General features: G+C 45.1%; 2 annotated features.

Annotated features, from left to right (window-relative positions):
* Positions 7,232 to 7,754: an enhancer, noted in NCBI's record as "H3K4me1 hESC enhancer chr12:4099402-4099924 (GRCh37/hg19 assembly coordinates)". NCBI's record gives its function as "activates a minimal SCP1, AML or CMV promoter by ChIP-STARR-seq in naive H9 embryonic stem cells {active_cell/tissue: H9 hESC(naive)}" and the evidence as "EXISTENCE:reporter gene assay evidence [ECO:0000049][PMID:30033119]".
* Positions 7,755 to 8,277: an enhancer, noted in NCBI's record as "H3K4me1 hESC enhancer chr12:4099925-4100447 (GRCh37/hg19 assembly coordinates)". NCBI's record gives its function as "activates a minimal SCP1, AML or CMV promoter by ChIP-STARR-seq in naive H9 embryonic stem cells {active_cell/tissue: H9 hESC(naive)}" and the evidence as "EXISTENCE:reporter gene assay evidence [ECO:0000049][PMID:30033119]".

The following is a 20,431-nucleotide window of genomic DNA, read 5'->3' on the forward strand; positions in this document are numbered from 1 at the left end:
TCGCACCATTGCACTCCAGCCTGGGCACCAAGAGCAAAACTCCATCTCAGGAAAAAAAAAAAAAAAGGATAAAGTCATAGCAATAGCAACTATCCAAAATGAAATAGAAGAAAAGACTGAAAAAAATAAAAAGGGCATAGTGAGCTCTAGGACAACTTCAGGCAGCCTTTATATTAATATATATAATTAAAAACGCTAAGGGCAAGGAACAAAAAGTATATTTACAGAAATATTAGATAAAAAGCTTCCAAATATGGCAAAGTTAAAACTCCACAATTCCAAGAACTTTAAAGAACCTCAAGCACAAGAAACATGAATAAAATTACACAAAAACACATCATAAAGAAATTACCTAAAACCGGCCAGGCACAGTGGCTCACACCTGTAATCCCAGCACTTTGGGAGGCCAAGGCGGGCAGATCACAAGGTCAAGAGATCGAGACCATCCTGGCTATCACAGTGAAACCCTATCTCTACTAAAAATACAAAAACATTAGCCGGGCGTGGTGGTGGGTGCCTGTAGTCCCAGCTACTTGGGAGGCTGAGGCAGGAGAATGGTGTGAACCTGGGAGGTGGAGCTTGCAGTGAGCAGAGATTGCGCCTCTGCACTTCAGCCTGGGCAACAGAGTGAGACTCCATCTCAAAAAAAGTAAAGTAAAAAATAGGAATTACCTAAAACCTATGATAGGCCAGGTGTAATGGCCCATGTTTGTAATCCCAGCATTTTGGGAGGCCAAGGCAGGAGGATTGTTTGAGTCCAGGAGTTTGAGACCAGCCTGGGCAACAAGATCCCAGCTCTACGAAAAAATAAAAAATTAGCTGGGTGTGATGACACACACCTGTGTTTCCAGCTCCTCAGGAGGCTGAAGTAGGAGGATCTCTTGAGCCTGGAAGGTTGAGGCTACAGTAATCTATATTTGTGCCACTGCACTCAGCCTGGGTGACAGAGTGAGACCTTGTCACACACAAAAATTAAAACTTATGATAAAGAGAAAATCTTAAAGGTAGGCATAGAAAAAAGTCCCATTATGTACAAAGGAACAAATATACAAGGGACAGTAGATTTCTTGTTGAAAACAATACCAGTCAAAAGACAATGGAACAAATTTTTTTTTTTTTTTTTTTTTTTTTTTTTTTTTTTTTTTTTTTTTTTTTTTTGAGGAGGAGTGTCACTCTGTTGCCCAGGCTGGAGTGCAGTGGTGCAATCTCGGCTCACTGGAAGCTCCACTTCCCAGGTTCATACCATTCTCCTGCCTCAGCCTCCCAAGTAGCTGGGACTACAGGCACCCGCCACCATGACCGGCTAATTTTTTTGTATTTTTAGTAGAGTCGGGCTTTCACCATGTTAGCTAGGATGGTCTCAATCTCCTGACCTCGTGATCCACCCGCCTCGGCCTCCTAAAGTGCTGGGATTACAGGCGTGAGCCACTGTGCCCGGCCGGAACAATATTTTTTTAAGTACTAAAAGGAAAAAATTAGTCAACCTAGAAATCTCTACCCCATGAAAACATCTTTCCTTTTTTTAATTTTTATTTTCATTTTGAGATGGAGTCTTACTCTGTCTTCCAGGCTGCAGTGCAGTAGTGCAATCTCGGCTCACTGCAACCTCCACCTCCTGGGCTCAAGCAATCCTCATGCCTCAGCCTCCTGAGTAGCTGGGACTATAGGAGCCTGCCACCTAACCTGGCTAATTTTTTGTATTTTTAGTAGAGACAGGGTCTCACCACATTGGCCAGGCTGGCCTTGAACTCCTGACCTCAAGTGATCTGCCCACCTAGGCCTCCTAAAGTGCTGGGATTACAGGTGTGAGCCACCGTGCCCAGCCATATCTTTCAAAAATTAAGTCAGGCCGGACACAGTGGCTCACACCTGTAATCCCAGCACTTTGGGAGGCTGAGGCGGGCGGATCACAAGGTCAGGAGATCGAGACCATCCTGGCTAACATGGTGAAACCCCATCTCTACTAAAAATAAAAATTAAAAAAAAAAATTAGCCAGGCGTGGTCGTGGGCACCTGTAGTCCCAGCTACTTGGGAGGCTGAGGCAGGAAAATGGTGTGAACTCGGAAGACAGAGCTTGCAGTGAGCCGAGATCATGCCAGTGCACTCCAGCCTGGGCAACAGAGTGAGACTCTGTCTCAAAAAAAAAAAAAAGACAAAGTGCACAACCTTGTGAATATATTAAATGCCACCGCACTGTTTACTATAAAATAGTTAATCTATAATATGTGAGTTTTGTCTCAGTAAAAAAAGTGAAAAATAAGGAATTTTATTTGAATAGGTAGTTTTAAAACTACCCATTGGTTACTATGCTCACAACCTGAGTGACAGATTCTGTTGTATTCCAAACCACAAGATCACACAATATACTTTTGTAACAAACCTGCACATGTACTCCCATTCTAAAATAAAAGTTGAAAAGAATTATTATATATTTTATATATATATATATATATATATATATATATATATATATATTTTTTTTTTTTTTTTTTTTTTTTTTTTTTTTTTGAGACAGAGTCTCGCTATGTCACCCAGGCTGGAGTGCAGTGGCGCGATCTCGGCTCACTGCAAGCTCCGCCTCCCGGGTTCACACCATTCTCCTGCCTAAGTTTCCCAAGTAGCTGGGGCTACAGGCTCCCGCCACAATGCCCGGTTAATTTTTTGTATTTTTAGTAGAGATGGGGTTTCAAAATGTTGGCCAGGATGGTCTCGATCTCCTGACCTCATGATCCGCACACCTCGGCCTCCCAAAGTGCTAGGATTACAGGCCTGAGCCACCACGCCCAGCTTTGCGTTTCCAGCTACTGGGGAGGCTGAGGCAGAAAAATCGCTTGAACCTGGGAGGTGGAGGTTGTGGTGAGCCAAGATCGTGCCACTGCACTCCAGCCTGGGCAACAGAGTGAGACTCAAAAAAAAGAATTTTTCAAACATATAAAAGCTGAAGTAATTCAAAGTAATTCATCACTAACAGACTCGAACCACTGGAACTATTAATGGAAGTATTTCAGGTGGAAAATAAATAATACCAGATGGGATCTTGGATCCAAAAAAAATTAGAAAGCCAGAAATGGTAAATATGTGTATGGGAGAGACGGGTAAAATATTTTTCTTAAATTAAAAATCACTTCAAAAGATAATTGATTATTTAAATAGACTTATGACAATGTATTTTGAAGTACACTGCAAATGTAGATGTAAAATATATGACAATCGTGGCACAAAGGTCAGGAGAGGGGAGTGGAAAGGTGCTGTTGTAAGGTTGTTATACTGTGTAAAATAGTATATTACTTGAAGGCATATTGTGATAAGTTAAAGATGTTTTACTATAAGTCCTAAAGGAAGCTCAAGTAAAAACTTCTCAATTCATAAGGCAGAAAAAAAGGAAAACAGAGAATAAAGAACAGATAAGACATAGAGAAAAATAATAGTACCATGATACATCAATAGTCACATTTGGCGGGGCGTGGTGGCTCACGCCTGTAATCCCAGCACTTTGGAAGGCCAAGGTGGGCAGATCACAAGGTCAGGAGATCGAGACCATCCTGGCCAACATCGTGGAACCTCGTCTCTCCTAAAATACAAAAAATTAGCCAGGTGTGGTGGCAGGTGCCTGTAGTCCCAGCTACTTGGGAGGCTGAGGCAGGGGAATTGCTTGAAGCTGGGAGGCAGAGGTTGCAGTAAGCCGAGATTGCACCACTGCACTCCAGCCTGGCAAAATATCAAGACTTTGTCTCACACACACAAAAAAAAGTCACATTCAATGTAAATGGTCTGAACAGCAATTAAAGGGCAGAGATTGTCTGACTGTAGCAACCAAGCAAGACCTAATTATATGGTGCTTATAAGAATTCTCTCTCTCTCTCTCTCCAAATATATAGATAGATATAGATGTAGGAATGAATTAAAAGAAAGCCAAAGCAGCTATATTATTATCAGACCAAGTAGAATTCTGAGCGAAGAATATTTCCAGGAGTTTACTAATGGCAAAGATATCAATTCCTCAAGACAGTCAGAAATATTTATGCACCTAATAACAGAGTTTCAAAATAGGTGGAGCAAAAATTTACTAAACTGCAGGAAAATCAGAGAAATCCACAGTTATAGTCTAGGATTTCAACAATTCTTTCTCAATAATTGTTACAACAAGGAAATAGATAATCAGTAAGTATATAGAAGACTTGGAAAACTCTATCAACCAACTTGACATACTTGATATTTATAGAACACTCCACCCAACAACAGCAGAATACACATTCTTTTCAAGTACACTCACAACATGTACTAAGATAGGCCAAGTCTTAATAAATTTAGAAGGATTTAAGTTATACCAACTATACTCTAAGTATATTCTCTGACCATAATAGAACTGAAATAGAAATCCAAGAGTAGACTCACTCATGTATGGTCAGTTGGTTTTTGACAAAAATGTCAAGGTAATTTAATGGGGAAAGTAATGTTTCAATGAATCATTCTGGAAATTTTTGTTAACTATATGAAAAAGAAAAAGAAGAAGGAGGAGGAGGAGGAGGGAAGAAATTCAACCCTTACTTCACACCATTTACAAAAATGTAAGAGCTAAAACCATAAAACATATAGAAATCACAAAAATCCCAGGGGGAAATATTAGATGTCTTGTGTTTAGCAAAGATTTCTTACATGTGACACACAAGAAAACATAAATTTTGAAAGACAATAACGGCAAAGGTAAGTACCTGAAACCTCTGTTAGTCTTCTCACGGTTGATGATCTCTCTGAATCATCATGGCCAGCTTGCTTCCAGTGGTGCCAGGTCACACTTGATTAATGACACGCCAGTGCTACTCATTCCTCTCCCAGGGTCTACACGAAACCCTCCTTGCTTTTCCTACATTTTCCTGTGAGGGTCCTCATTGCTGTGCTTTAATTTACTTCATTTTCAGTATAAAGTATGTGAGATATACAGAAAGCTTAAAGAATACTCATGAGCCCACCACCTAGCTTAATATCTCATTTTTTAAAACTATTTTTAAAATTATTTTTTTTTTTAATTATTATGGGTGTATATATTTATGAGGAAGAGATATCTGCATTCCCATGTTTTTTGTAGCACTATTCACAATAGCCAAGATATGGGATCAACCTAAGTATCCATAAATGGATGAATGGATAAAGAAAACGTGCTATGTATGTACAATGGAGTATTACTGAGCCATAAAAAAGAATGAAATTCTGTCATTTGCAACAACATGTGTGGAACTAGAGGACATTATGTCAAGTGGAATAAGCCAGGCACATAAAATTATCTTCTACGCAGCTATTTTTTTGCCGTCAATAATTTTTTGCTTCTCAAGGACAGGGAGCATAGCTTCAGTCTTACTCTCAACTCTAGCACAATGCCCAATAGACAGTGGGTATTAAGTAAATGCTTGAAGAGAGAGAAAGAGAGAGAGACAGAGAGGTTGCAAGCACTCAGCTACCCTCTGGATTAACAATTGCCTCTCTTTGTGAGGACTTAAAAGGACGGAACAAGTGAGGCATGAGACGCACTTGCAGGACTCTGAGAGTGACAGTCTCCCTTAGCACTTCCCTTGCCTTGAGAGGAGGGCTGTGTGTGGTTGAGATAAAGCTCCAGGTAAAGAGGTAAAGTTCTTAACTCTGTGCTCTGAGCTCTACTTCCCCTTTGTTGCCTCTCTTATGTGGTTTCAGTTTAGACTCTACTTTTAATAACACATACACTCACACCAGCCTCCCTGTCTCTTCCAGCAATCCTCCCTGCACCCATCCACTGCCACTCAGCCGCCATTACTCAGATGCCCCACTGTGGCTGCTGCCTTGAGCCAAGCTGTGGTCGAGGCCACCTCCCCAGCATGCTGTTCTGCCAGAGCTCACTTTCTTGTCTTCCTGGTGCATTGGCTACCTGGTTCTTCCTAGAAACTGTCCTGCTTTTTTGTTTTCCCCCCAGCATTGCAAGTTGTACTCAGGGCCCCTATGATTCATGTCCAAACCCTGCCTTCCATCTTCTGGGGGGAGTACTCAAAGTAGAGAATGTGCAATCAGATTGGGCTGAGCTGGCCTTGTCCCTTTTGTGGAGATGATGACATGGAGGATTGGGTGGGTTTGGGAAAGATGTACGAGGTGGGAATGTGCTGAGACAAGCTAAATGCCACTGTGGTTAGAAGTCTCTGTTTTCTAGCAATTGTGAAGCAGTGGGACTGCCCCTCTTTCTAGAAGTCAAAACAAACCTTAGAAAACCAGTGCAAATGAGCCTTTCTGCCCCGTATTTCTCAAGACCCACTGCTTTGCTTGTAACCAAAGTCCTCTACAGAGAGATACCAGTTCCTAGCCCGGGCTCTGGTCACTCTCCTGACCAGACAGAGGAAGGACAAATTCCTTTCCCTTATCAAAGCCAAGGATCTGACTTAGGATAACAGAATCTTGGGTTGGGAGGGCTCCCTCAAGAAACATGTCATCCATTCCCCTGCCTTCAGCTGAGTTTTCATTTACTCCTCTGTGAAGACACCCTTGGCTGTCTGCCCTCCCCAGAAGCAGCCCCTACTTACTCACACTTTTTTGGTGATTGGCAACTCCATGAACATGTCACAGACTGGAAGAATACCTTTCTGAGATATGATCTAGACGTCACTGCTTTAGTGCAAGACTAGTTTCTCTTGTCTTGTTCCTCATGGAGAAGGGAATAGAAAAGATGGGGGCTGGAAGGGCATCAGAGGAAGGAATAGAAACGGAAACCAAGACAACTGAGTCCAAGGCTGAAGGCACTCTGTTCTACCTAAACTCTTGCCATTCAAAATGCGGCCCATGGGACAGGTGCATGAGCCTAACCTGGGAGCTCAGTAGAAATGCAGAATCTCGGGCCCCACTGCAGACCCACTGAATCAGATTCTGCATTTTTGTCAAGATCACCAAGTGATTCATTTGTGCATTAAGTTTGAGGAGCACTGGGCTGGGGCTCATTCTCCATCACTCACTGTAAACGTTGGGTCCAGAGCCTCAGCCCAGAGCTGGATTCTGTGTCAGAGCATCTGAATCTGTCTCTATGCAACACACCCTGCCTTCAGCCCTCTCCAGGGCTCAGCTAGAGAATTATCAAAGCCATCCAGCCCAAACCTTTTGACTTTGAAGGAGAGCGGGAGTGTTCCCCCAGATGGATGGGTCAACTTGACTTTAATCATATGGAAAAGCCCTTCCTATATGCTGAGCTATGGCCGTGCCCACCACACCACCAACATAGCTCCACCTTGGAGCTGGTTTTGAGCTTATTACAGGGAACTGCATTTTGTTGGGTGGTGATGTTTTTTTCTTTACGTGTGCATGATTCATTGGGATTGCTTCTTTTTGTTTTTTAACAAAGGGTAGTTTTTGTGTTTTTGAATGACACCTTTACGGTCCCCGTTACCCCAACCCCCTTTGATGCAAGGCCTCTGTTTTTAAGCATCAGGGTTCTGCCACCCGGACCTGGTGAGGCATATTTAAAGCTGTTTAAATTGACAGACCGGGCAAACAGGATTAAGTCGGTGGGCCCAGAAGGGGAGGTGGGGGCAGGGGGAGAGTTGCAGAATGGTTTACATGGATGAGCAGGACAGCCGGCTGGGCTGGGAAGGGGCCTATCGCTCCAGCCGGCCAAGAATTCTCGATCTGGGAGGTAGGCAGAGAGTTTGCAATCTGCCGGTGATTGGATTAGACATGGTGTGAAATTTGGAGCAGGGCTACGCGGCTGGGGCGGGGGCCCAGGCTGCTGTGGGGCCAGGCTGCCGAGGCCCCGCTGAGGAGACCGTGTCGGGATGCCTGTCCCTGCCCCAGCAGGCCTTGGCGACAGCGTCAATGTCACAGCCCTCGGAGGCTCCCCCACAGCTGGGCCGTGTTGTCTTCCCACACCACTGAGCCTTCAGTGCTTTCTCAGGGAAAGCAGAGGCCGCCTGGGCCCCCATTCACAGGGCCCCTTCACCCCTGGCCTCTCAGCGGTGGCCCAAGCTGCGCAGGAGTAAGACGCCTCCGTCTTTCAAGTCTTTGGGTTCTGAACAGCTCCCTCTTGATATCTTTTTTTCGCCTTTTTCTTTCTTTGTCTCTCCTTCTCATCTTTCGAGTTTTCTCACTCCCTCTCGCACAATCTGTTTCATTCAGGAGGATGCCGCTCCATCTGGATTTGTTCAAGGGCCCAAATCAGCTTGGGTTTTCCACTTTTTCAGGGATTTGGAGGTTCTGATTAACCTCTTTGAGGATTTTGAATCTTATTCCAGAACCCTAATCAGGCAACTGTGGGGTTGGGGGGTAGGGAAGGGGGGTGTGGAATTCGTCATCGCTGGGACGTTGACAATGTGTGACAGAGGCAGTAACACAAGGTGCAAGGCTAAAGAGACGGGCGGGTGGGGGGCCGAGAGGAGGAAGATGAAGGATGGAAGTGGATTTGAATGGGCATTCCCAAAGCCCATCCAATAATGAAACGGGCTCTTTTTGTCAGGAGAGCCAGTAGTGAGAGCCAGAGTATGGACACCCGGATCCCTGGCAGAGAACTGTGAAGCTAGATGTCTCTTGACCTCCTTTCTGACTCTTGTCTATAAAAGGCAAATTTTAAAAACAAAAAACAAAGCAAACAAACAAGCAAACAACTCTAAGCTATCTTGCCCACCTAGGGAACTCTTTAATTCTAACTCGTCTCCTCAGCTACTGCACAAGTATAGCTTTGGCCAAGTTTTCTTTCTTCTCCATCTTGGCTTCACTGTGTCCGAAGCAGAGGTGTGAGTGATCACATTCACTTCGTCTGCTTTGAAAAGTCCTCCATCTGTTGATCCAGGAAAGACCTCCCAAGGGCATCTAGTTATATGACTGTAGTATTTCAGAGCAGAGAAAGATCACAGAAACAAGCTCCATTTCTTCACAAATAATGAACTTGAGAACCCTTGGGTCCCGGTGTCACTTCAAAGTGTCCAGTCATCTCACCAGCTCCCCCTTGTTAAATGGTCAGTCCTCTTAACAGTTGGGGCAAAGCTCAAAATAGAACACAGGTCTCACACTTCCCGTTCAGGGCTCTTTTCTCTTCTGCCTGCTGGGTCCACGTAGCTCTGCCTCCAGGGACACCTGAGCTTGGTTCCCAATAAACCATGAAAGGCTTGTTCTTTCTGTGATAGCCAGGAAAGTACCTGTCAGGACGGTACCTTTCTCTCTTCCCCTCTCTTATATTCTCTCTTGCTCTGAGTGCAAACCTAGGCGAAGGAGAGCAAGTCCGGCCTCTCCCGGTCACAGGCGTAGTTACCGACTTCTCTCTCGGCATGGGACTTTTGTGCCTCCTTGATGTCTTTTAGAGTGGATATCCTGTATTAGTAAATATATTTCATGTCATGGGCCAATTTGGATCTATTTGCATTGTCTACTCAGGTTCCAAGTCCAACTCTGGGTTTACTACAGAAGAATGTTGGAACTAATAGGAATGCTCACCATGGATGAGGAAAAACTGCAACTTCTGAGCTTGGTCTCAAAGGCAGGTTGGCACACCTCTGAGAGGACATGTGTCCCCAGATCTGCAATGGTCCCACCCATATTTCCAAAACCAGCCACTTCTCCTTCTAACGAGGGTCCCTCCCCTCTCTTGCTACAGCCTGCAGCATGCTCAGGGCTTCCCTTGCCTTTGTGTGGTCATTAAAACGAGAGGTTTTTCTGGTGGAGAGAAAAAGCTTTTTGAACACTTCAATCACCAATATGCAAATAAAAACCCAATTATAGAGACACCGACAGATCATGGGGCTTGCTGAAAATGTTCCCAATTCTGCAGGCATCTTCTACCTGCAATTGTCAGTGCACTGTGTGTGGCAGCAAGTCTCCAAAGGTGGCATCCCAATCATTCTTCACCTCCCTGTACTTGTATATGCTTCTCCAATTGAGACAAGGAGACAGAGTCTATTTCCCCTCCTCTGATTCTGAGCTAGCCTGTGACTTGCTTGGACCCATAGAATTTGGCAAAAGTAACTTTTTGGAATTTCCAAGCCCAGGTCTTCAGAGGATTGGTAGCTTCTGCTTCCTCTCTCTTTGGAAGCCAGCTGGGATGTGAGGAGTCCAGCTCGCTTAAGCCCACAACGCTGTGAGGAAACCCAAGGTGGCCACGTGGAGAGGCCACATGGAGGAGCACCAAGGCATCAGACACATGAATAAAATATTCTTGGGTTTTCAACCCAGCCCAGGCACTAGTGGAATGCAGGCAAGTGAATGACCCCAGATAATAGGTTATGCTCAGAACTGCCTGGCTGAGTCCTGCCCGAATTCCTGACCCAGAGAATCATGGAAAATCATAAATTATTGTTATTTTAAGCCACTAAATTTTGGAGTGCTTTGCTACACATAAATAGATAACTGGAAACGCTGTCTTCTGTGATCGTAGATGTGGCACAGTCCCTGTGGAGACCCTCACTTCTTTGACCGTCTTGTTTTGCTCTTGCCTGGGTAGGCTGGAGATTGCCTATAGCAAGAAATGCTGCACAGGTGCAAGGTGAGTCCACCCGTCATCACAACTTCTTTAGAAAAGTCAGTCTACCACTGGTGTTTGTTGCTTTGGCCGCAAACCACCAGTATAACTGCCTTGGTCCTCGGAATTGAGGGAATCACCCAGCTTTCTTGACTTTGTGTACAGAGGATGAGGACAGGGCTGGAATGGTATGGCACAGCTTTGGAAAGGGACATGTGGGTCTGTTATGTTTCTTTTTAGCCCACTGCCTGATGTCTCTTTCAATCTTCATTTCCTTTGGTCCTTCACTTCTTAGGTTTGTGTGCCCCTCTAAGAGTGGTGCAGCTTCAATTACACGTAGGTAATTTCTAGTTTAATGTCAGGGTCATTGTTTTGATCCGTCCTCCCAGAAAGTCTCATCATTCCTCTCCGAGAAGTTCTGGAGTAAAAGCTCTTCTTGTCATGTCAGTTCCCAGAGTCTGAACAGATCTTGTTCTAAGATCCAATGCTCTGTCCCTGCCCTCCATCCTGCATTCTGCTATCCTGAGGGCATTCAGAGCTCTTTTGTGTGCAGCTGACCCTCAAGAGTGAGTCCCCAAGAATTGCTGTGGTAGGTATCAGGCAGATAAACCTCCAATGGTTCAGTAACACTATATATATATATATATATATTTTTTTTTTTTTTTTTTTGAGATAGGGTCTTGCTGTGTCACCCAAGCTGGAGTACAATGCTACAATCTTGGCTCATTGCAACCTCCACTTCCCGGGCTCAAGTGATCCTCCCACCTCAGCCTCCTGAATAGCTGGCACTACAGGCAGGCATGACCATACTTAGCTAATTTTTTAGTAGAGACAGGGTCCCACTATACTACCCAGGCTGGTGTCAAACTCCTGGGCTCAAGCAAGTCTCCCTCCTTGACCTCCCAAAGTGCTGGGATTACAGGCATGAGCCACTGCACCTGGCCCCATAACACTATTTTAAACAGTATTAGAAGGTGGCTAAAACTGAGAAGGAGAGAGCAAAAATATTTTACTAATATAAGCTCAAGAGTACTTATTCTAAACAAACCTAGTTTCTATCCATAGAAGGCTGGTTAAATAAACCACAATATTATCACATGATGGAATATTAACAGCTATAAAAAGAATGAGGAACTTTAAAAATATATTGATATGGAAAATTATCCAATGTATACTGCTATGTGGTGGGGGAAAGGCTCAAAATGGTGTGTATAGCATGCTTCCTTTTCGCCTAAAGGGGAAGAACAACAATAATGTTCATTTGCATGTGTCCATATTTGCATAAAGAAATACCAAGAGAATACATGGGGCAATTTAACAACGATTACCTCTGGCAGAGGGGAGATGGAAAAGGGTAGAGAAGGCTGACATGGAGGATTGACATTAACTTTAAACTTCTTTATTGTTTCGATTTTTGTACCATATAAATTGCATTACCTAGTCCAAAACAATGTTGGTGGAGAAAGGATTCATACTTTGCCTAATTTGATTAAAGAATAGCACAAGAAGAAAACTCAGGCCGGGCACGGTGGCTCACGTCTGTAATCCCAGCGCTTTGGGAGGCCGAGGAGGGCGGATCATGTGGTCAGGAGATCGGGACCATCCTGGCTAACACGGTGACTCCCCGTCTCTACTAAAAATACAAAAAATCAGCCAGGCGTGGTGGCGGGCGCCTGTAGTCCCAGCTACTCGGGAGGCTGAGGCAGGAGAATGGCATGAACCCGGGAGGCAGAGCTTGCAGTGAGCCGAGATCATGCCACTGCACTCCAGCCTGGGCGACAGAGCGAGACTCCGTCTCAAAAAAAAAAAATAAATAAATAAAAAGAAAACCAGCATCAGAAGGTTTGAATGGAATCATGCCTGTTTAAATTGCCTGGAGTAACCCCAATATGAACAAACTTGAAAATAATATGAAGGAGGCTAGGCAAAGGGGAATGCTACATCACTGTTTCCAAGAATCCGAAGGATGTGTGCCTGAGGCGAGAGCTGGAAGAAACAGGCTTCTCTAACCTGAAGAATTACAGTAGTCTTGAAGACTTGTGAGAATGGGTTTCCCATCTGGCCTTGGAATCTCACACTCTGATTTATGTGAATTTTGTCTGACCTTCTGGACCCATGATTCCATGAAAGTTATTCCAGTGCAGATGCTCCTTGACAGTGAGAAAGAGGTCTCTAGCTGTGTTTCTGAGCATCCCAATCAAGGGTGCAGGGCAGTGGGTCAGAAGCTGTGCTCTGTGGTTCAGGGGGCTTGCAACTTGGGTATTAACCCTGGACATGGTGAAATCAATTGTACTCATTAAATTAGCATTCCTGTCCACTCTTTAGATAGATAGTAACTTCTCAAGACCAGGGCATACGCATCTTACTCATTTCAGTTAGTACTTGTTGAATGAATGAATAAATATGAAATACACTTTATTTGCAAATTGTTTGAAAAAGTATTTGCAATAAGTATTCAAAATTTTTTTATCTGAAGCAATGAAGGCTCCATCCAGGCATTTCTAACACTGGAAAGATGATATTGTTGCCAGTAGAGGGCAGTGGTGCCTTTATCAATTAATAAAAGAGAGCGGGAGCGTGTGTGTGTGTGTGTGTGTGTGTGTGTGTGTGTGTGTGTGTGTGTGTGTGTGTGTGTGTGTTTGATTTTAAAAATCTAAACAATTAATGTATTATCAATTAATAAAAGAACATGCGCACACACTCACACACCCACACACCTCTCTATTCTTTCTTTCCCAAATTAGCTTCTTCCTATTGTTTCATCAAGACAGAAGGACCTGTACATATAGTTCAGTGATGGGCAGTTGAGGTCATAGTCATTGACCACAAAGCCCCCTTGGCCAACTTGGTAAACCCACTGTGTGCTGGAATGAACTTGAATTCTACATCAATACCTTCTTAATAACACTCAGAAATTGTGGGGACTGTTTTCAGGGAAAAGAAGATACCAACCTCCTTCCTTCTTCTCTCTCAGGGCCTCTGACCCACCCCTCTGTCTCCTACAGGGTCCACATCTAATCATGGGAATCAGGGGTAGCCTCTGCAAGACCTGAGTTCTTCCCGAGTGGCGAAAGCAGGCAGGGACATGCAAAGGGCCGTGACTGCAGGCTGCTCAAATATTTCAGGGTACAAAGAAGCAGCTGTCAAGCCAGTGTGGCTCAGTGAGGGAGAAACAAGTCAGCCTGAAAATTACCTGTGCTGATTCTTGCCATAGACGATTTCTCATCCCCCTGCAGCTCCTTGTACCCAACCTACCACGTTCAAATCAGCACCAGATGTTGTTGCCCTGAATTCCTTTCATCAAAAACTCTGGGAAATATGACTTTCTGCTCTAGAGCAGTAAACTGGTGCTCCATAGACCTTGGGAAAGTCCTTCACCCTTGAGTTCTTCTGGATTTCGGTTACTCAATCTGATGCATAGGACAATTAAATTCACCAGTTCACCGCTTCCAAACCAGATGTTGTGTGTGCACAGCCCACATGGACTGCTAGGTGCCCATGTTGAGTGCCTCCGTGTGCTTGAAGGGCACATGTCAACAGATTGAGGAGCCACATGGTGTCTCGCAGAATGCAAATGGTGGCCCACTAAGACCAAATGAATTCCAGAAAGTCAGGTATATGTAAAGTCAGATTAGACCTAAGTGGGTAGAGTGTAGAATGGAATGGAATGAGGGCATGAAGAGGTGTCAGAAGGAAAGGGAGGATCGCTGCAGTATTCAAATAAAAATCATCCACTATCTTAGTGTAACTCCTTGCAAAGTGCTTCCATGCCCAGCATCTCACTAAAACCTCAGGCTGGATGGTAATGTAGGCCAGGGCATGGTGCTCCCCATTTTAAAGAGAAATTGTTGCAAACACAGGTTAAGTGACCTCCCCACGTTGACACAACTCACTTATGTCAGAGCCAGTTCTCCTGGGTCCATCCTTTCTATTTCTAGGAATGAGTATAGGTTGCTTTTGGAAATAAATAAGATTTCCATGTTTCACATAGCAAGGACACAAAGTTCAGTTTGGAGGACCTGGGAAAGGCCTTTAAAGTGGGAGGCCCCCACAGGCACACCAGATCGCCGCCAAGCACTGTCAGTAGGAAGGCGCTCGCTAGAGGTGAGCCCATGCTGTCACAGAGCTGAAAGGAAGAGAAGAAAAAGGAGAAGCCATCAGTCTCACTTTTCAGAGGTACAGATCAGGAGCTGTTTGGTGTTTAGGGTTCATTTTACTCCAACACTGCAAATAACTACAACCCTACATACGCTGAGTCCAGAAGAAGTTATGCAAAGGAGTAGAGGGTACGAAGTAAGTGTCATCTACTGCCCTCCTCCTCCGCAGTAATGAACACACCTCTCCTCTCCCTGGTGTTAGATGGGTCTTCACAAACAGTAATTATTGGGAGCCAAGGATTACTGCTGAGAGCACTGGCTTATCGTTGACCTGAAAGAGGTGGAAGGACAGGTGTACCCTGCGGCAGGAAGCCACTCTAAACGTAGGTGTGGTCGCTACCACTGTCTGTGGCTGGTACAAATCTCTGTCCTGAAGATATTTTAGAAACACTGTGAGACACAGTTGACTGGGTATATCACTCCTCCCAGGCAAGAAATTACTGAAAATAATAATTATTGTTATATTGTCAATACCTTGGTATATTACATTTCATAGCTTAAAGTTTTCATATGCATCTTTTCTTGCTTGATCCTCAACCATCTAGAATACACACAAGGCAGGATTTATTACTGTTCTTTTACAGACAAGGAAACTGAGACCCAGGGAAGTGAAGTGGTTTGGCCAAGGTTTTGTAGCTGGTACTTCACTGGGTGGAAACTCAAACATAGGACTTCTGACTCCAAATAGTCCCAGCGAGGTTGAGTAGTGTTGAGTGAAGGAAGGGCCCAGCTGCCACCGTGGGCCTCCAGCCCCTTTGAAGAGCCTCGTTGGATCTGGCTCCTAGAGAAAGGCAGTGCAGAGCTGTCTCTGTGCAGGCTGAGGCGCCTGGCAGAGCTCCTCATGATTTCAGGAACGTTGCTTGGACTCTCCACTGGAGCATGAGGAAAAGGGAACGGTTGGTTATGAGGGGTGGAGAGGGGTGCAGAAAGGAATGAAGAAAAAGCATCAAACTGAGTGGTCTCAGAGTCCTGTTCTGACTGTACTGTAGCTTGGGGCAAGCCCCTTCTCCCTGAGCCTCAGGTTCACCTTGTGTTGAATAAGGTGCTAAAGCAAAGGATTCTAAGGTCCCTCCTAGCTCTCAAGTGTTAGAATGATGACAGGCACACGCGCACATACAGTGTTGCAACCAGCTTCTGAATTGTAACATTAATTAATTCATTGAGTCATTAAGTAGCTATTGAACATCTATTATGTGCAAAGCAATGCTAGTGCTTGATAATGGATTAAAGGTGAGCATAGGCTAGATGCAAATTTGGCTTTCAATATAAACCAAGATATTAATGTTGGTATATCAAGCTCTATATACCAAGAAGAGGGTTGAAAATTTGGAATAGGCTATCAATGCTTTGGGCTTGCAGGAAACACTGAATCTCCACATTAATCCCAGCTATTAGCAAGCTAACAGGGCATGTCCTGTTGTACATTAGCTGAACCTAGCTATCTAGAAACACGTGAAAACATGGTGAAACCAAATGCACAGGTTCAATGAATGATTTCACCTACCCAATTCTTCAGCAATGGCTGCATTTGCCCTTAAGATATAGATCATCCTAAGAGATACCATGTCGTCTGAGCATTCTCGTGCATTAGTGTAGCTGAGTGACTGGAGAAGAGAAGGGGTTAATAAATGGTGGTTTGCTGAGAAAGATGACTTTATGAGGCCTGGCAGGGTAAACATCTCTCCTGCCCACTTCTGCCTGGTGCCACCGTGGAATGAGACACTTCCTCCTACTTTCCAATTGCATCTGCCCTCCTAATCCCACCATGTGGCCAGGGTTAAGGGTAGGAGCCAGGAAGGAGAGCCAGCTCACCTAAGACACAGAGAGAAGAAGCCAATTGTCCTGGCCCACACAGGAAATCAGAGGCAGGGGCCACAGCCAGCCCTGGAATTCACGAGCTCCAGGCTTCGCTTCCAGACAGATGTTTGTGTTTCCTCCAATGTTTGTTTAATGCTAGAAACATTTCAGTAGAAACCAGAGAGCTGGCTCCTCTGAAGCTCACCTGTTGCTTTGGAATGTATTTATTTGTACCTGGGGCCCCCTCTCAGCAGACTGTTCCTTTCCTACAGCCAGAAGGCTGATGTGCTCACGTCACTGTCTCCACAGCAACTGACTGTGATATTACAAACAGCAGATTGTGCCTGGAGGTAGATAGCAAATGGTCTGAGCAGGTAAAGTGGGCCAAACAAACTTCCTGTTTCCAGGCAAAGGTCTCAAAGAACAGTGAAACGTTCCCTCACCCTCCCACCCCCAGACATGCTCTTCTCCAAAGAAACAAATATCTCACAAATTGTGGTCTTGTGTTTTTTTCCTCTCATTATTCGTGCAAAGGGAGGCAAAAGCATTTCTGCTTTCCTTACTGATTACCCCCACCCCATATCTCTGCCTCTAATTTACCCATAAATTAAAAACAAAGAAGGAACTCTTGCTCCTCTTGGCATGGTTATGACCTTGGTATTTAAATATGCATTGCAGTCATGGTGGTAGCGAATCATCGCGGGTCTACATTGCGTTGTCCTCAAAGGAAAAGAAAAACTGAAATAATGGAAAACCATGCCTTCACTAGTCAACACATCTATTTACCACGAAGCCCAGGGTGGCAGGGCCCTCCTCATAGTTTGACTCCAGTGTCCCCGAGAGCTTGACCACCAGTTTCTGATGATCACCAACCTACTCCACCGCCACTCACTTTCATTTGCTCTGTGATGTTTTCCATGTCACTAAGCTTACAGCAACCTCTTGCACCGTGACATTCTTCTAAGTCTCTGGAAATAGAATCATGGAGCTCAGAGGAAGTGGACATGACCAGAAGGTGTATGCCAATCCAAGCTCTCCCCTTGTCTCCCTGACATCACCTACCTATGACTTCTATGTCCTCTGCCAGGGCATGACCACAGCTGGCTGAGCATTCTCAGTTGAGGTTTTGAGCCTTCAACTCCAAGGCACTCAAGGAACTGAGCTAAGATGTTGCAGTACCAACTGAAATCTAAGTCTGTCTCTAACTCAGAAACTGAGTGCTTACCTTGTCTTCTTCCTTTAGCTTTAGACGATTAAAACATCCCTCAAAACACCTGGATTTCCTACAGAATACACTCTTGCCTATAGCCAACACCTCTAATATCCATATTCTTGGGAGGGGGTGGTTAGTCATCACACTGCAAAGATGGGGACATCTTACAATGGGTTTGGAGAAAGAGCAAACCTGAAGAAGGCTTTTCTGTCCCCAACAGTCCTGCATGTCTGACTCTTTCCCATCCTGCAAGACCACAGAGGCCACCTGCTCCACAAAACACACCTGGTAGGGAGCTCTTCTCCCTCTGCAGACCCATAACACCTTATACAAACTTCATGTTCACAGCTAAACATCACCTTACATTCCCTACTAGACCTTATAAGCTACTTAAGAACAGAGTCTATGTCTGATCATCTTTTCATCCTCTTTTGCCTTGAACATAATAGCTGCTTAATAAATTAGGGTAAATGAATAAATGTCAATAATGCAATGGACTGTGTGTGTCTTCATTACCTGGACTATTTCCACCCACCCTCTCCTTTCACTCCTTAAAGGGATCTTATGCATGCCTTCATCACCTGAAGGGGCCATTTTATACCCAGCTGTACTGTAAGCCTCCCCTCCCTACCATAGCCTAGCCAAACTTTCAGTCATTCCTTATTATCCTAGGTGAGGCATGGGGGTTAATGCCACCCAAGCAGTTGCTTGTGGGCAGTGACTTCCCCAAACAGGTATTTATTCTATTTTTCAGTCAATACAAACAGAGACCTTTTATTTTATTTTTCATTTTAAAAGTTGAGGTCTCACTCTGTTGCCCAGGCTGGAGTGCAGTGGCATGATCATCGCTCACTGCTGCCTTGAACTCCTGGGCTCAAGTGATCCTCCCACCTCAGCTTCCCCAGTAGCTGGAACTACGGGTGCACACAACCATACCTGGCTAATAAGAGATCCCTTTTTGAGACCTTAGGATTCTAGAAACTATCTTTGAACCTTAGGCAAGAGATCTACTCTTCCAAGATTACTTGATCTTTTCTTCCACACAAATCAAAGTTTTGCCTAATCTAGCATATCTCTAGAATGGACTATTTCCTTCTATATGCACCACAAACTGTCTACTTGTAAGAACTAGTTTTAGCTTTGGCTACAAGTGACAGAAACTCAAAATTCATGGTCTTAAACAAGATGGAAATTTATTTCTTCATCTCATAGAAAAATTCTGAAGAAGATAGCATGGGGGATACCAGGGAAGCTCCCAAAGGTCATCAGGGCCCCATATCCTTCTATCTGGCCTGCTATTCTCAGCACTTGTCCCCTACCTCATGGATCAGTATGGCTGGTTGAGCTCCACCTTTCATGCTAGCAGCCCACCAGCAGAAACAAGGAAGTAGTGAAGGACCTACCTCTTCCCTTTAAGGATGTTTCCTAGAACATAACCACAACACTTCCCCTAAATTCCACTGGCCACAGTGGAGGCTAATAAATGTCGCCTTTATTCTGCTTAGGTTGTAAATCCTGAAATTTGAGATTCTGTTTCTTTCTTTCTTTTTTTTTTTTTTTTTGAGATGGAATCTCACTCTGTCACCCAGGCTGCAGTGCAGTGGCGCGATCTCCACTCACTGTAAGCTCTGCCTCCCGGGTTCATGCCATTCTCCTGCCTCAGTCTCCCAAGTAGCTGGGACTACAAACGCCCGCCACCATGCCCGGCTAATTTTTTTGTATTTTTAGTAGAGATGGGGTTTCACTGTGTTAGCCAGGATGGTCTCAATCTCCTGACCTCGTGATCCGCCCGCCTTGGCCTCCCAAAGTGCTGGGATTACAGGCATGAGCCACCGTGCCCAGCCCAGGATTCTGTTTCTAAGGAAGAGAGCGATAACAGATATTAGGGGCAACTGGCAGACCTGACCTGACTTTTTGCCCTGAATGGTTAATTTTCCATCTCTGAGGGATGAGTTTCCTTTTTCCTCAATGGTCAGGGTAGGCAGAATATCTCTGTCTACCTTTGCTTCTCATAGATAAAGAGCTTAGATAGGTCTGGGGAACTCTAAGGTATGGCAGGGTCAGATGACTTTCCCACCACACACAGCAAATAAAGCCCAGACAGGAATGACACACAGTGGTCCCGACTCTCTCTTGAGGAGGCTCAGCTGGGTCTGAGTCAGGAGCAGAGGCCATCCCTCTCACTGCGCTGATGAATGCCAGGATAAAGAGAGGCATGGGAGTCCTGGCCAAAAGCAACCTCAGGAACCTGTAGATAAGAAATCTGTGCCCAGTGGCACTGGGCTCCAGTGTGCTCATTCCAGCCACAGCACAAGGACCTGTAGCAGGCCTCCCTGGTGCCATCTTGCCTTTCAGGGCACCATCATCCTCTCAGGGCAAGAACAGCACCTCCTGGACTAGCCAACCGCCCCCACATAGCACCACAGGCTCCTGCCACCTGGCAGGTAGCTTGGGACCATGAGAGGCAAACCATGTGACTGCACCCATTCTTGGGGGCCCTGGGCTTCCAGGCAAGCCAATCCCTGTCTGGGCTGGTAGCTGTGTGCAGACTTTCCTGTTATCGTCTTGAATCTGGCCCGGCCCCTCCAGCTCTCTAATGCTGCCTATCTGAGTGGGGCCTGCCCTCCCACTAATGTTTTCTCCTCCACAGGGCCTCGGGAAAGGTATTTGGCCTGGCAGTTTGCCTGCCTCCTCTCCCAGGGTGCTGGGGCCTCTGAACATCCCACAGACTGTGGGGTGATGGTTCCAGCTTTGAAACGTCTTGTACACATAGGGTGTAGTACCGTGGGGAGGCTAGGATATGCCAGCTGCAG

The sequence above is a fragment of the Homo sapiens genome, chromosome 12 (assembly GCF_000001405.40).
Source record: "Homo sapiens chromosome 12, GRCh38.p14 Primary Assembly".
Classification (NCBI taxonomy): Eukaryota; Metazoa; Chordata; class Mammalia; order Primates; family Hominidae; genus Homo; species Homo sapiens.